Consider the following 15309-nt stretch of genomic DNA (forward strand, 5'->3'; position numbering starts at 1 on the left):
GGCAGGAGTTTGAAACCAGCCTGGGCAACAGAGTGAGACCCCCATGTCTACAAAAAATACAAAAATCAGCCGGGTGTGATGGTGTGCACCTATATATAGTCCCAGCTCCTCTGGAAGTTGAGGTGGGAGGATCACTTGAGCCAGGGAAGCAGAGGTTGCAGTGAGCCAAGATTTTGCCACTGCACTCCAGCCTGGGTGACAGAGCAAGACCTTGTCTCAAAAGAGACTAAAGAAAAGCAGTTTTTACTCTCTAAATTAAGTCTCCTATCAAGGTCATGCTGGTAGCTAAGGAACAGATAACAGGTATTAGCTCAAAATAAACAAGGAACTAACTTACAGGTAGGGAATGTATTCTTCTCATAGGATTTTCAAGGCTGTAATGAGATCAGAAGGTAAATAATGAGAATAAAACAAGTAAAGAGGTATTCATATTAGCAGAGAGATAGTGTTTAGCCTGTAGCTTGGGGGTACAGTCACAGACTCCCATTTTAGGCAAGAGATGGGAGAATAAATTTCTGAAGCTGTCCTGTTCTCAGGAGCACCCCCAACACTAGACTTCTAGGTGAAAAAAAACAAACCCATGTCTTTTCTTAAAATACACACATTCGGCTGGGCGCGGTGGCTCACACATGTAATCCCAGCACTATGGGCACTATGGGAGGCCGAGGAGGGTATATCACGAGGTCAGGAGTCTCGAACTCCTGGCCTGGCCAACACGATGAAACCTCGTGTCTACTAAAAATACAAAAATTAACCGGGTGTGGTGGTGCACTCCTGTAGTCCCAGCTACTCGGGAGGCTGAGGCAGGAGAATCAGTTGAACCTGGGAGGTGGAGGTTGCAGTGAGCCACTGCACTCTAGCCTGGGCGGCAGAGTGAGACTCTGCCTCAGAAACAAACAAACAAACAAACAAAAAAACCCCACATGTTCTTGTAAGGCTATGATGTCAGAGCACAGAGTAAGGGTTTGGGTAAGACCCAAACAGAACACCAAAATTATAGCTAAAATAAAGGAGAAAAAGTTCTGAAAATTGCTGACACAAACTATTCATTCTTGAGATTCCAGAGTGTTTCTAGGCACAGGTAAATCCAGGGCTCCAGTCCAGTGTATGAAGAACTTCATTTAAATAAGGTATTTAAGTTTAGACACGTTTTTTCTACATATAAACATTTGAAAGCAGTGAATACATACTTTTCTTTACTGTCCAATGGCCCAGGAGAATCTAGACAGAAACCTATGGGGAAAAAAAAAACCTCTCAAGAAATAATACAAAAAACACCATTTTGTCATTAAAATTAAAACACTAAACAAAGTACCTGGGTCTTTATTTAAGTCAGGCAACAAATATTCATGGCTTGTACTTTTGCCAGAATTGATGTTACGTCTATTAGATTGTCAAAAATGTCATGTTTGTACAAGTCTTAATATTTTCATAGCGTATTTACTGTTTTTTCTCCTATTTGCAAATAACATCAAGGGAAATAGGATTTGAGAAGAGGGTGAATAAAACTGATTCATATCATGATTGTTTGGTTATTCAGATAGAGGTGACCCAGATAACTTTCTGTGAGTTCCAACCATAGAAACAATAGGTACCAGATTTTCTTGGCATAGTTTTTAAACGTTTTACCTTGTCAAATCATATGAGGCTTGAAAAATACAACTACTGACCAGGCACAGTGGCTCACACCTGTGATTCCAATACTTTGGGAGGCTGAGGCAGGCTGATGGCTTGAGGCCACAAGTTCAAAACAAGCCTGGGGCAACATAGTGAGACTTGACTCTACCAAAGTTAAAAAAAAAATTAGTTGGGTGTGGTGGCACGTGTCTGTAGTCCCAGCTACTTGGGGAGGCTGGAGTGGGAGGTTCGCTTGAGCTCGGAAAGTTGAAGCTACAGTGAACCCTGATTGTGCCACTGTACACCAGCCTGAGACCTGGAAAACAGAGCAAGACCCTGTCTCAAAAAAAAAAAAAAAAAAAGGCCAGGTGCAGTAGCTCACCCCTGTAATCTCAGCACTTTGGGAGGTCGAAGTGGGTGGATCACCTGAGATCAGAAGTTTGAGACCCACACCTGTAATTCCAGCTACTAGGGAAGCTGAGGCAGAAGAATTCTCTAAATCTGGGAGGCAGAGTTGCCTGGGTGACAGAGTTGAGACCTTGTCTCAAAATGAAAAAGAAAAATACAACTACTGGTCATGACATGCAAGGCAAGCACTTGCTGCCTTTAACAAAATGACACCAAGGTGTCCATCTCACAAAAGGCAGCAGGGTGAAGGAGACACTGTTCAGCATTACTAATATGCCAGCTCAGATGACGCAGACCCACCCACCCATAGCTCATGTGTCTATACAGCCTTATGGAAAGTGAGGTGTTACAGCCCTTGCTCACCACACTGCTACAAGTGATAATCCTATCCCCAGTTCTATATTAAATTACATTCTACATACAGAAGCCTACATTACATTTTAAGACTTGCTCTTGCAGTTCCTTTAACCTAAAGGATCTTTGCACCAATGGTCTTATCTGTACAAATACAGATAAACTCTGCAGTAATATGAATTCATGAAGAATGAAATGCACTGGCAATTTCCTCCATAGCAGCATCACTGAAATGATTTCATGACACTGTACTTCCAATCATTTGATCCTGTATTTTAACCAGTAAGATTGCCTGAATGCCACTTACAGTGGTATGGTGAATTATACTTTACTACCCATCCTTCAAGGGCAAGCACACACCACCTCCTTATAGACATTTGAAACCTATTTCCTTTCTTCATAAACAGCCACAAGGGCTCCTTTGTATTGTTCTCAATAATGTTTATCACCGGGCGCGGTGGCTCACGCTGTAATCCCAGCACTTTGGGAGGCCGAGGAAGGCGGATCACCTGAGGTTGTGAATTCGAGACCAGGCTGACCAACATGAAGAAACCCTGTCTCTACTAAAAAATACAAAATTAGCCGGGTGTGGTGGTGCATGCCTGTAATCCCAGCTACTCGGGAGGCTGAGGCAGGAGAATCACTTGAACCCGGGAGGTGGAGGTTACAGTGAGCTGAGATCATGCCATTGCACTCCAGCCTGGGCGACAAGAGCGAAACTCTGTCTCAAAAAAAAAAAAAAAAAAGTTTATCACCCAATGCCATGACTTCCTCAAGTTCTCACCAAAACTAACCTCCTGGGTGAAAAGGCATGTTTCAGGAAATTCAGAGTATTGCTCCCCACACAGCAGACTTAAATACCTGAATCTGTTGACTCGGAGGAGCCCATTCTCTGCAGATTACTGTTGTTCTTCACCTCCAGTGGTTGCTCATAATCACTGAAACCAACAGAAATAAACCATGAATGATTTATAGGATATAATTAAAAGGTCACATGCAGGAGATAGGCCATGAGATTAAGAAGCAGCCAGGCTGCCAGAAACCATTTCTAGGCCACACCACAAGTGGCAAAGATCCCACTTTGCCACTCTGAACACCCAATTAGCACTTGGGCAAAGGAGAAAAAAGGAGTGGGTGGGCATGGCCTTGGACCACATTGCAGGTTATGATGGCTATGGCAAATGTTGGGGTATTTCCTAAAATAAAAGCATGTGTTCTAAGTACTGAGACAGAGTCGGGATGAAAGTTGAACAGGACACTTTCTGCTTTTCAGAAGTTGGGAAACGCACAAGACATGTGCTTAGCAAACGGGATGCCAGAGATTGAAGGGAAAGTAGCTCTTCCGCGGGAAACACCGTGGGATGCATTTTTTGCTATCAGGAAAAGCCCAGGAAGCTTTCTGAAAGTTGGGTAAAAAGACCTGGCCTTAGGAAAGCAGCAGAGTGGACATCAGGAATGTGCACAGGGCGAGGGACTGAGATGATTTTACATAAACGCCAGGAAAGAAAATGCCATGGTCCTTTGTTGAGAAGGAACAAAGATCACAGCAAACGAAGATCCTGAGGATGGTTTAGCAAAGGGTGAAAGTGAGTGCCTAGAAGAGCCTGATTTTCCCCGCGGGGGTAGATTCCAAAGAGCTTCCAGGGATAGAGATAGAAGGAGAGTACGGAGCAATCCGAAAGGGGTGAAGGTGGGCCTGGCTCGGGCTTAGGCCCAAGGATCTCCACCTCTTCCCCTGGAAGGTCCCGACGGCCTCTCCCGCCCAACATTCCGCCCGGGCGGGGGTGCACATGGCAGGCCCTAGCCCGGCTGTCCCCGAGCGGCGAACCCGGACGGACGGGTCTCGCCCTTCTCCCGGTCCGTTTCCTGGCCTGATCTCTCCGAGGCCGACACCGAGGCCAGGGGCCCGGAGCACCGCCCGCCGGTCTCTCCTTACCTGCCCAGACCCTGCAGCTGGTCCATAGTGACGGTCAGGTTGGTGACAGGCGACAGTCCCCCGGCGGCTGAAGCGCCAAATAGCGCCTTCACGACGGGCTGCGACGCGGGAGGGGGGCTGCAGGCGAAGAGCAGGCGGCGGCGGTGCGGGGGCTCCGGGCCCAGTTCCATGGCGGCGCCCGGCCTCGCAGAGCTCCCGCTCCCTCTTCCTCTGCCTCCGCCGCGACCGCCCCGCCCCGCCGACACCGGCCTCGGCCGCGCGCCACCGGCGCCCGCGGGTCAAACACAAACACGACTCCGCGGTTCAGGGACGCGGCTGCCGCGGGCAAGCGGCGCGGCCGGGCGGGTGTGCGGACCCTCCAGGCGCCAGCCACCAGCCACAGGCACGGGTGCTTCCCTCTCACACCGCGAGGCCAGCGGGCGGGCGGGCGCCGGCAACCTGAAGATTAAATCCAAACAAACGTGGCGGGTCGGCAAGAGAAGCCGGGCGAGAGCCTCGAGGCAACGGCCCAGGCTCACGCTGTCTTCGCTGTTCTCCCACCCGCTTGCCCAGCTCCGGGTAGCAGAAAACCAAGCCGACCTACACCTCTTACCCAGGCTGTCGCAGCCAGGCCGGCCTTTCGCGGTAATAGCGGCTCAGTGGGGCCAGCTGCTGCCCCGCCCCCCTTTCCTAGTTGGCGCCAAACGGAATCCACCAATCAGTAAGCAACTTCTCCTCCTCTCAACCGAATGGCAGCTAGGCTGGGCCAATGAGAGGGGAAGAAGAAAGCGGCTCGCGGGACTCTGCCAGGTCATCGGCTCTCAGAAGGGGGCGGAGCCCAGAGCAGAAGAGCGGGGATCAAAATGAGAGGGGGAGCAGAGGTCAATGAAAACTCCCAGCAGAACCTGCGAGGCGCTGCTCGCGGCTGAAAGGCCCCTTTGCCCCGTCGCATGCTGGGAAGCGTAGTTCCCATCGCGAGCTGCCGTCCAGTTAGCTTCGGCCCCCTTTGGGCCTCCGCTACCTCGCCCCCAGCCGGGCGCCCCACACTCTGAGGCAATGTGGAGGCTAAGGAAGACCTGTGGAGGTCTGGCCGGATCCAGCCTTGGCTCGGCCTCTAACCGTGCAGTATTGTGGACCCCTTTCTTCCGCCCCGGGCCTCCAGGCCCCATTTTATAATGAGGGAGGGAATGCAATGACCCCCAGGACTGGACTCGACCACCAGGGCCCAACTCTGGAGGGCTCACAGACCCTGGGTGCTGCTGGCCTCATGGGATTTGAACCCCGCAGTACAACCTGTGCTGTGGGCCTCAGCATTTTTTGCTCACTTCCATTCTAGCCCTTATTGGATGCTCTTAGAATCATTTCTTTCTTTCCCACCACTTCTTAGCCCCCTGGGAGCTCCTAGAGAGAAATAACAGCAAACACAATAATAGCAAATAATAGCTAAAGTTTACATAATGCTTATGCACTTGACACTGTTCCCAGTGTGTTAATCTGTATTAATTCATTTAATCTTTACAACTCTGTGACATAGGAATTATCCCCATTTTCTAAGTGGGCATATTTACTTTTACAGCGCCGAACCTGTGGCAGCTCCTAGACGGATTTTGAGGGCCATAAGTGCATGATTTAATTGCAACCTACTGCTGGGCTTAGTGGCTCACGCCTATCATCCCAGCACTTTGGGAGGGCGAGGTGGGAGGATTGCCTGAGCCCACGAATTTGAGACCAGCCTGGGCAACAAAGTGAGACACCCCCTGCCCCCCACTCAAAAAAAAAAAACCCTACAGTTTGAAAAGCCATGCTGGACAGGTGGAAACCCCAAACCTTTGGCCCCAACACCAGACCCTTCACAGTGAGGAACCTCTCTCTCAGGATTCATCTCCTTTTCTGTGCACCAGTGCTCCACCACCCAGGAACCTCCCTTCCCTCCAGAAACCCCAGGCTATTTAGGCCTCTCTGCACAGTTCACATGGTCTGTGGTCCCACTGTTTCAAATAGTTCTCCCTGTCGTATCTCTGAATACTTTCCTCTCCTCCTGTGTTTTATGTGGTTTAATACTTGGCTCAACAGGCCGGGAGCGGTGGCTCACGCCTGTAATCCCAGCACTTTGGGAGACCGAGGCGGGCGGATCACGGGGTCAGGAGATCGAGACCATCCTGGCTAACATGGTGAAACCCCGGCTCTACTAAAAATACAAAAAATTACCGGGCGTGGTGGCGGGCGCCTGTAGTCCCAGCTACTCGGGAGGCTGAGGCAGAAGAATGGCTGAACTCGGGAGGCGGAGCTTGCAGTGAGCCAAGACCGAGCCACTGCACTCCAGCCTGGGCAACAGAGCGAGACTCCGTCTCAAAAAACAAAAACAAAACTTGGCTCAACATTCCTGTTACTGCATTCATTCATTCAACATATGTTTATTTAAGGATTACTAGAACAAATTCAGTGCTTGAAATAATACCACAATCCCTGCTCTCAGGGAGCTCTGGTCCGCTGAGCATAAAGCTCCTTCTAATAATGGAATTATTACCATGACAATAGCTGTGGTTTGTGGAGGGATGGTGGGCACCTAGAGGAGGGGCGGGGACTGGGGAAGGCAGTACGGTGGGGGGCACGTCCTAAAGGAGATTAAAACTAAAGGTCAAGGTTGCTGGAGAAGGGGAGCTTGGGGCTGGTGGGAAGTGCTTTCTAAGGAAACGGCCCTCGGCAGCCAGGAGGTGAGGAGGAACGCCGTACTTGCCGGGAGCTACTCCTGAGTTGATCCAGTCGGTTCTAGAATGGGCACATGGGACTGGCTGTGAGGGACAGTTCTTGAAAGGATTGGAGTTTGCTGAAGAGTTTGGCCTTATCCTGTGGACAGTGGAGGGTGTGTGATAACCGGATCAGATTTGCTTTAGGGTGGATCAGTGGAGGAGAGTGGGGAGGCCTGAGGAAAAAGGAGGTGGCTGTCTCAAAAGTCTGGGAGATTCTGAAGCAAGGTGGGGGCCTTGGAGACAAAGGAAGGGAATGATTCTGTGAGCCCTGAAGGAGGTAGATCTCATCAGATTTTGATAATTGAGAGTTAAGATTGTAGGGGGCTAGAGGGAAGGGAGGAGGCTAGAATGATTCTTAGGTAATGATTCAAGTACCTGGGTGGATGTAACATTTCAACAATTGGAGGCATACTTCTTGGAGGAATTTGATGAGCTCAGTTTTGTGCTGGTGGACTGGCTGGGGGGTGTAGTCAGGAGGCAGATTTGGTGTTGATTAGCATGAAGATGGTAATGCCCATTGAGGATGTACAAAGGGTTTTTAGGACCCTGGATCTGGGGAGCACCAGCATTGAGGACTTGATGTAGTGAGACAGGACCGCAAAGCTGGGGCTGAGATAGAAACCACAAGGGAGTAGCCGAGTCCATAGTTCAGAGGTGCACCCAGGAGAGTCACTGAAGGTGGCCAGAATGAGGTCACAGGCAACTATGGAAATCATGTAGGAAGGCGAGGAGGTGGCCACAGAAGGCCATGGGAAGGGAAAAGTTGGCACAGAAGCTACAATACAGTTCAAGTGTGCCAAAATGCATGTACACAAATATTCATGGCCATGTTAATCATTTTAGCTCCAAACAGAAAGCAACCCTAATGCCCATCAACAATAAAATGGGTAAATAGAACAAAGTTATTTTATACAGTGATGAAAAGGACAGAAGCGCTACCCACAGTAGGAGTGAATCTCACATCAATGTCAAACATAAGAAGGAAGACACAAAAGAGAACATGCTGTTTAGGTCTGGCTCACACCTGTAATCCCAGCACTTTGGGAGGCTGAGGCAGGCGAATCACTTGAGGCCAGGAGTTCGAGACCAGCCTGGCCAACATAGTGAAACCTCATCTCTACTAAAAAAAAATATATATATATATACACACACACACATATATGTGTGTATATATACATAATATACATACATGTGTATATATACATAATATACATATATATGTGTACATACATATACATATATATGTATATATACATATACATATATATGTATATATACATATACATATATATGTATATATACATATATACACACATATGTAATATACATATATACACACATGTAATATACACAAACATATATATACACACATATATACATACACAAAAATTAGCCATGTATGGTGGTGCACAACTGTAATCCCAGCTACTATGGAGGCTGAGGCATGAGAATTGCTTGAACCCAGGAGGTGGAGGTTGCAGTGAACCGAGATTGAGCCACTGCACTCCAGCCTGGGTGACAGGGCGAGACTCCGTCTCAAAAAAAAAAAAAGTTAGTTATGGTACTAGTTACCTTTCAGAAAGATGGTGGTGACTGCAAGGGGCCATGAAGGGGATATTGGCAACTGGTCATATTCTGTTTCTTATTTATTTTTCACTTTTTGAGACAGAGTCTTGCTCTGTGGCCCAGGTTGGAGTGCAGTGACATGATCATGGCTCACTATAGCCTCGAACTTCTGGGTTCAAGTGATCCTCCCACCTCAGCTTCCTGAGTAGCCTGAACTACAGGCATGCACCCATAAACCTAGCTAATTAAAAATTTTATTTTTTATTTTGGCTGGGCATGGTGGCTCACGCCTGTAATCCCAGCACCTTGGGAAACCGAGGTGGGTGGATCATGAGGTCAGGAGTTCGAGACCAGTGTGGCCAACATGGCAAAACTCCGTCTCTACTAAAAATACAAAAAATTAGCCGGGTGTGGTGGCACACGCCTGTAATCCCAGCTACTTGGGAGACTGAGGCAGTAGAATCACTTGAACCCAGGAGGCGGAGGTTACAGTGAACTGAGATCATGCCATTGCACTCCAGCCTGGGCAACAGAGCAAGACTCTGTCTCAGAAAAAAATATATGTATAATTTTAGAGACGGGAGTCTAACTATGATGCCCAGGCTGGTCTCAAACTCTCGAGCTCAAGCGATCCTCCCGTCTTGGACTCCCAAAGTGTTAGCATTATATGCATGAGCCACTGCACCTGGCCACTTTCCATTTCTTGATCTGGGTGCTGGTTACCTGAGTGTGTTCACCTTGTGGAAATTCATTGAGCTACACACTCAAGATTTGTTAGCTGTTCTGTATGAATGGTGTATTTCAATGAAATGTTTATTATTAGTGATAAAAAGCCTTTCCTTGATGCCACTTTCCCCTCCAACTATATTCATTCCTTCCCTTCACAGTAAAACTCCTGGCCGGGCACAGTGACTCACACCTGTAATCCCGGCACTTTGGGAGGCCGAGGTCAGGAGTTCAAAACCAGCCTGGCCAACACGGTGAAACACCATCTTGGCCGGGCATGGTGGCTCACGCCTGTAATCCCAGCACTTTGGGAAACCGAGATGGGTGGATCATGAGGTCAGGAGTTCAAGACCAGCCTGGCTAACATAGTGAAACCCCATCTCTACTAAAAATACAAAAAATTAGTGGTGCGTGGTGGTGGGCACCTGTAATCCCAGCTACTTGGGAGGCTGAGGCAAGAGAATTGCTTGAACCTGGGAAGCGGTGGTTGAAGTGAGTGGAGATGGCACTACTGCACTCCAGCCTGGGTGACAGTGCGAGACTCCCTCTCAAAAAAAAAAAAAAAAAAGAAAAGAAAGCCCCATCTCTACTAAAAATACAAAAATTAGCCAGGCATGGTGGTGGGCGCCTGTAATCCCAGCTACTCAGGAGGCTGAGGCAGGAGAATTGCTTGAGCCGGGAGGCAGAGATTGCAGTGAGCAGAGATCAGGACACTGCACTCCAGCCTGAAAGACAGAGCAAGACTCCCTCTCAAAAAAAAAAAAAACCCAAAAAACAAAACACAGTAAAACTCCTCAAAAAAGTTGTCTCTAATTTCTCTCCTCACATTTTCTCTTGGACCCACTGTCATCAGACATTGATTTTCCCCACTCCATGGAAGTGGCTTTTTTTTTTTTTTGAGATGGAGTCTCACTCTGTCGCCCGGGCTGGAGTGTGGCAATCTTAATTCACTGCAACCTCCGCCTCCCACCTCCCAGGTTCAAGTGATTCTCCTGCCTCAGCCTCCCGAGTAGCTGGGATTACAGGTGTCCGCCACCACGCCTGGCTAATTTTGTATTTTTAGTAGAGATGGGGTTTCACTGGCTGGTCTCGAACTCCTGACCTCAAGTGATCTGCCCGCCTTGGCCTCCCAAGGTGCTGGGATTACAGGCATGAGCCACTGTGCCAGGGTGGAAACGGCTTTTGTCAAATTCTCCGGGAACCTTCATTTTGCTGAATACAGTGACCAATTTGCAGTCCTAGCTTTACTCCACCCAGCAGCCACCCATCATCCTCACTGCATGCTTGGCCACTCCTAGAAACATTCGCTTTGCTAGGTTTTCAGAGCACCACTCTCAGATTTTCCTCCTCTCTCCAGTTGCTCCTAAAAAAGTAAAAAAAAATGATGCCGTGGAGAGGTCATGATGGAGGGAAGCTATTGGCCTCTGAAGGTGGGAAGCAGGCATCCAGGCATAGCAGGAGAGGCCGGCCCTGGACTTCCTGCAGGAGCTGGGAGCTCCTTCGGGGCACTATGGTCCCTTGTTCCCAGCAGCAGCATAAAGCCTGGCTCATGGCGACAAGGAGAAATGTTTGTGGAGTGAATAAAGAATAAGACTTTGAATGTTATCCTGAAGGCAGTGGATTTAGAAAGAGTCTCTGAGAAGCCATCATTCCTCCCCTCCTTTTCCCCATGGAAGATAGACTGGATTATGGCTTGGGGTGGTGAGGTGGGTTCCTAGGGTTCTTTTCTCTTCCCAGAAGGTTGAGGAAGGACTTTTCATCCCACTCTTCCCATCGGAGGGCATTGATGTAGCACCCAGGAAGGCCACCGGAGGGCACTATATTCCCAGGAGACCATTATTTGGGAACGAATTGAGAGTTGCTGGTAGAAAAGAATAAAGCTTAGCACACGTGTGAGAAACCAAATACACCCCTCTTTCTGGGATGTTTCCAGAGCCTTCTGCAAGGTGGGACATGCTCAGGGCCAGGAGCCTTACACCTGTGTTGTTGGTCTCAGCTGGCCCTTTATCTTATGTTGCAGACTCTTTTTTTTTTTTTTTTTGAGACAGGATCTCACTCTGTCACCTGAGGCTGGAGTGCAGTGGTGCAATCTCTTGGCTCACTGAAGCCTCAACCTCCTGAGCTTAAGTGATCCACCCCCCTGTCCTTCCCAAAGTGCTGGGATTACAGGTGTGAGCCAGCCTGGCCTGTGGCAGCCTCTTGACGACTCTTGGTCTCAGTTGTACCCCTCTAGAAAATGGGAGTAATGGCCGGGCGCGGTGGCTCACGCCTGTAATCCCAGCACTTAGGGAGGCCGAGACAGGCGGATCACGAGGTCAGGAGATCGAGACCGTCCTGGCTAACACGGTGAAACCCCGTCTCTACTAAAAATACAAAAAAATGAGCTGGGCGTGGTGGCAGGTGCCTGTAGTCCCAGCTACTCGGGAGGCTGAAGCAGGAGAATGGCGTGAACCCGGGAGGCGGAGCTTGCAGTGAGCGGAGATCGCGCCACTGCACTCCAGCCTGGGCGACAGAGTGAGACTCCATCTCAGAAAAAAAAGAAAAGAAAAGAAAATGGGAGTAATGGCCCCTGGCAGGTCTCCCACACAGAGGCATCAGCAAGAGAAAACAGAGTAAGTAGTAGAGATAGTGGTTGAAATAAAATGTACCGGAGAAATTCCTGGGGTTGGCCAGGTGTGGTGGCTTATGCCTCTAATCCCAGCACTTTAGGAGGCTGAAGCAGGAGGATCACTTGAGCCTAGGAGTTCCGGACCAGCCTTCGTAACAGCGAGACTCCGTCTCAATATTTAAAAAAAAAAAAGAAAGAAATTCGAGGTGTTGCTAATCCTCACTGTCCCCCTCACCCCACCCCTGTGCTAATTGTGTTTCTGCATCTATGGTTAGTTCATTCCTCTTTACTGACACACACTACTGAGTGTATGACGCTACACACATGAACACTGCTTTTTTTTTTTTTTTTTTGAGACGGAGTCTCGCTCTGTCGCCCAGGCTGGAGTGCAGTGGCGCGATCTCGGCTCACCGTAAGCTCCGCCTCCCGGGTTCACGCCATTCTCCTGCCTCAGTCTCCCGAGTAGCTGGGACTACAGGCGCCCGCCACCACACCCGGCTAATTTTTTGTAATTTTAGTAGAGCCAGGGTTTCGCCGTGTTAGCCAGGATGGTCTCGATCTCCTGACCTCGTGATCCGCCCACCTCGGCCTCCCAAAGTGCTGGGATTATAGGCGTGAGCCACCGTGCTCGGCCCTGAACACTGCTTTGAGTGGTGTCCAACCTTAACGTTCTGTGGAAGGTGATTCCCCGGTAGATGGAGATGATGAGTTAGGTCAGAGCCAGTGGGCAGTGAACGGAGGCCACTGGGGTGGTAGGGAGCCATAATAGGTTCTGGAATCGGGTGAGGATTTCATTTCAAAGGGCTAAGTTTTCTTGTGAGGTTTCCTGGGGCCCTCCTTCTGGAAGGCAGAGTTCCTAGGCAGCATCTGAGCCCTCCTTACAGCTTATACCTGGGTGCTGTGCCCCTGCACAGAACAGACTCAGAGGAGAGGAAACACCCTGTGCTGGGGGCTGGGAGGGGGCTGGAGACCTGCGCAAGCTGGACCTGTGCTGTCTTTGCTCAGTCCCGGCCTTTCTCAATCCTTGGGCCTCTGGTAGGTGAATTGTTCCTGGATTCCTTCCTGTCCTGGTTGAGTTAGAGCCTCTTGCACCATCCTGCTGATGGCTGGTTGATATTAAGCAAAGTGCAGTATGGGGAAGGATAAAGGGATGGCATGGTGGGGGTTGGAGGCGTGGGTTTTAGAACCTATCCCTTTCTAGCCCTGAGCAATGCTTGCCCCAGAAGGAGTTGGGGCTAGGCCCATTCCAATCCTTCCAGCCTAAGATCCAGACTCCAAGGCATGCCCCAGGCCTCCTGGGATGTTTGTATGTTCTGTGAAAATGGGAACAGATTTGAAGAAATCAGGGTTAATCAGAGTGAAACAGGTTCCTTTTCTGTGGCATTACTCAGTGCCTTTAGCAAGTGGTGTATTGTGAGTCTTCAAGAAACAGCAGGAGGGAGGTTTCACATACTTCCTTGCATGAGGAACCCTTTTCACAGAGAATTTTGCAGACCACTGTTCCATAGAACACACTGTAAGAAGTTTCCATTTCATCCAATGCAGCCCCCGTGTTCATTTCACAGAGGAGGAAACAGGAATGCATAGATGGGAAGGATCTTGCCCCTTGTCTCAGGCTGGGTTGGTGGTCTCCTGAGTGCAGCCTGGGCCTCCCTCCCTTGTGTACACTCAGAGCCTCCGGGAGTGAGCAGCGAGGTAGGTGCTGCAGGGCTACTCCTCTTCCTCACCTTCATACCTTTCTGTCATCTTCAGGGGGATCAAGACCCCACTCATGTGAGCTCAGGCTTGGCCGTGGAAGACAGTGAGTACAGGAAGCAATGCTCTTTCCTGGGAAGACATCCCCACACATTACCAACACTTACCTCCCTACCTCGCAACTTTTTAAATTGAGATGTAAATTACCTACCTCTATGATCATTGACAAATGTTCTAAATGGTGTAACCACCACTGCAATCCAGACACAGAGCATTTTCATTGTCCCAAATATGCTCCCTCACTCCCCTTTGCAGTTAGTCTCCTCTTCCTAACCCAGGCCCCTGGTAACCACTGACCTACTTTTTGTTTTTTTGTTTTTTTTTAGGTAGAGTCTCGCTCTGTCGCCCAGACTGGAGTGCAGTGGCTCGATCTTGACTCATCGCAACCTCTGCCTCCTGGGTTTAAGTGATTCTCCTGCTTCAGCCTCCTGAGTAGCTGGGACTACAGGCTTGTGCCACAACACCAGGCTAATTTTTTTTTTTTTTTTTTTGAGACAGAGTTTCACTCTTATTGCCCAGGCTGGAGTCCAATGGCGCGATCTCGGCTCACTGCAACCTCCACCTCCCGAGTTCAAGCAATTCTCCTGCCTCAGCCTCCCGAGTAGCTGGGATTACAGGCATGCACCACCACGTCCGGCTAATTTTGTATTTTTAGTGGAGACAGGGTTTCTCCATGTTGGTCAGGCTGATCTTGAACTCCCGACCTCAGGTGATCTGCCCACCTGGGCTTCCCAAAGTGCTGGGATTATAGGTGTGAGCCACTGCGCCCAGCCCCTACTTTCTATCTCTATAGTTTTGTCCTTTCTGGACATTTTGTATAAATAGAATCATCCCATATGTGACCTTTGCATCTGGCTTATTTCACTTAGTGCAATGTTTATGAGGCTTATTTGTGTTTCTGCAAGTATGGTTAGTTCATTCCTCTTTATTGACAAGCAGCATTCCATTGAATGGATGTACCACAGTTTCATGGACATGTTGATGAACACTTTGGATGTTCTTGCCTTTTGACTGTTGTGAAAAAGTTGCTATGGGCTGGGCGCGGTGGCTCACGCCTGTAATCCCAGCACTTTCGGAGGCCGAGGCGGGTGGATCACAAGGTCAGGAGATCAAGATCATCCCGGCTAACATGGTGAGACCCCTGTCTCTACTAAAAAATACAAAAAAATTAGCCGGGTGTAGTGGCGGGTGCCTGTGGTCCCAGCTACTCGGGAGGCTGAGGCAGGAGAATGGCGTGAACCTGGGAGGCGGAGCTTGCAGTGAGCCAAGATCGCGCCACTGCACTCCAGCTTGGGTGACACAGCAAGACTCTGTCTCAAAAAAAAAAAAAAAGAAAAGAAAAAGTTGCTATGTACAATTTTTTTTTTTTTTTAAGACAGAGTCTCGCTTTGTCGCCCAGGCCAGAGTGCAGCAGTGGTGCTATCTTGGCTCACTGCAACCTCTGCCTCCCAGGTTTAAGCGATTCTCCTGCCTCAGCCTCCCAAGTAGCTGGGACTACAGGAGCATGCCACCACGCCCAGCTAATTTTTGTATTTTTAGTAGAGATGGGGTTTCACTATGTTGGCCAGGCTGGTCTTAAACTCCTGACCTCAGGTGATCCACCCGCTTCG

The 15309-nt window shown here is 49.3% G+C and overlaps 1 protein-coding gene and 1 non-coding gene across 8 annotated transcripts in view, besides 3 other annotated features; one reads left to right on the forward strand and one right to left on the reverse strand.

The window, feature by feature from the left end:
• The window catches only part of CDC25A (cell division cycle 25A), a 31272-nt gene extending 26317 nt beyond the window's left edge, over positions 1 to 4955 (reverse strand). For 4 of the 7 annotated variants that reach the window (XM_047449366.1, XM_047449364.1, XM_047449365.1 and 1 more), the window contains exons 1-5: positions 4908 to 4955; positions 4316 to 4753; positions 3241 to 3317; positions 1191 to 1233; positions 338 to 374 (exon numbers count right to left, since the gene is read on the reverse strand). In XM_047449366.1, coding sequence (XP_047305322.1) covers positions 338 to 374; positions 1191 to 1233; positions 3241 to 3317; positions 4316 to 4485 — 327 coding nt within the window. In that variant the 5' untranslated portion in view covers positions 4486 to 4753; positions 4908 to 4955. Of the gene's footprint in view, positions 1 to 337; positions 375 to 1190; positions 1234 to 3240; positions 3318 to 4315 lie in introns of all 7 variants that reach the window. The other 3 variants (NM_201567.2, NM_001789.3, XM_047449367.1) reach the window with 1 other exon arrangement.
• Positions 4040 to 4668: an enhancer, noted in NCBI's record as "H3K27ac hESC enhancer chr3:48228992-48229620 (GRCh37/hg19 assembly coordinates)". NCBI's record gives its function as "activates a minimal SCP1, AML or CMV promoter by ChIP-STARR-seq in naive H9 embryonic stem cells {active_cell/tissue: H9 hESC(naive)}" and the evidence as "EXISTENCE:reporter gene assay evidence [ECO:0000049][PMID:30033119]".
• Positions 4412 to 4621: a silencer, noted in NCBI's record as "silent region_14323". NCBI's record gives its function as "represses an Ori minimal core promoter by ATAC-STARR-seq in GM12878 lymphoblastoid cells {active_cell/tissue: GM12878}" and the evidence as "EXISTENCE:reporter gene assay evidence [ECO:0000049][PMID:35858748]".
• Positions 12763 to 13292: an enhancer, noted in NCBI's record as "H3K27ac-H3K4me1 hESC enhancer chr3:48237715-48238244 (GRCh37/hg19 assembly coordinates)". NCBI's record gives its function as "activates a minimal SCP1, AML or CMV promoter by ChIP-STARR-seq in primed H9 embryonic stem cells {active_cell/tissue: H9 hESC(primed)}" and the evidence as "EXISTENCE:reporter gene assay evidence [ECO:0000049][PMID:30033119]".
• On the forward strand, positions 13102 to 13154 carry MIR4443 (microRNA 4443). Its single transcript, NR_039645.1, has one exon. It is a non-coding gene; the product is annotated as a microRNA 4443 (primary transcript).

Source organism: Homo sapiens, chromosome 3, assembly GCF_000001405.40.
Source record: "Homo sapiens chromosome 3, GRCh38.p14 Primary Assembly".
Taxonomy (NCBI): Eukaryota; Metazoa; Chordata; class Mammalia; order Primates; family Hominidae; genus Homo; species Homo sapiens.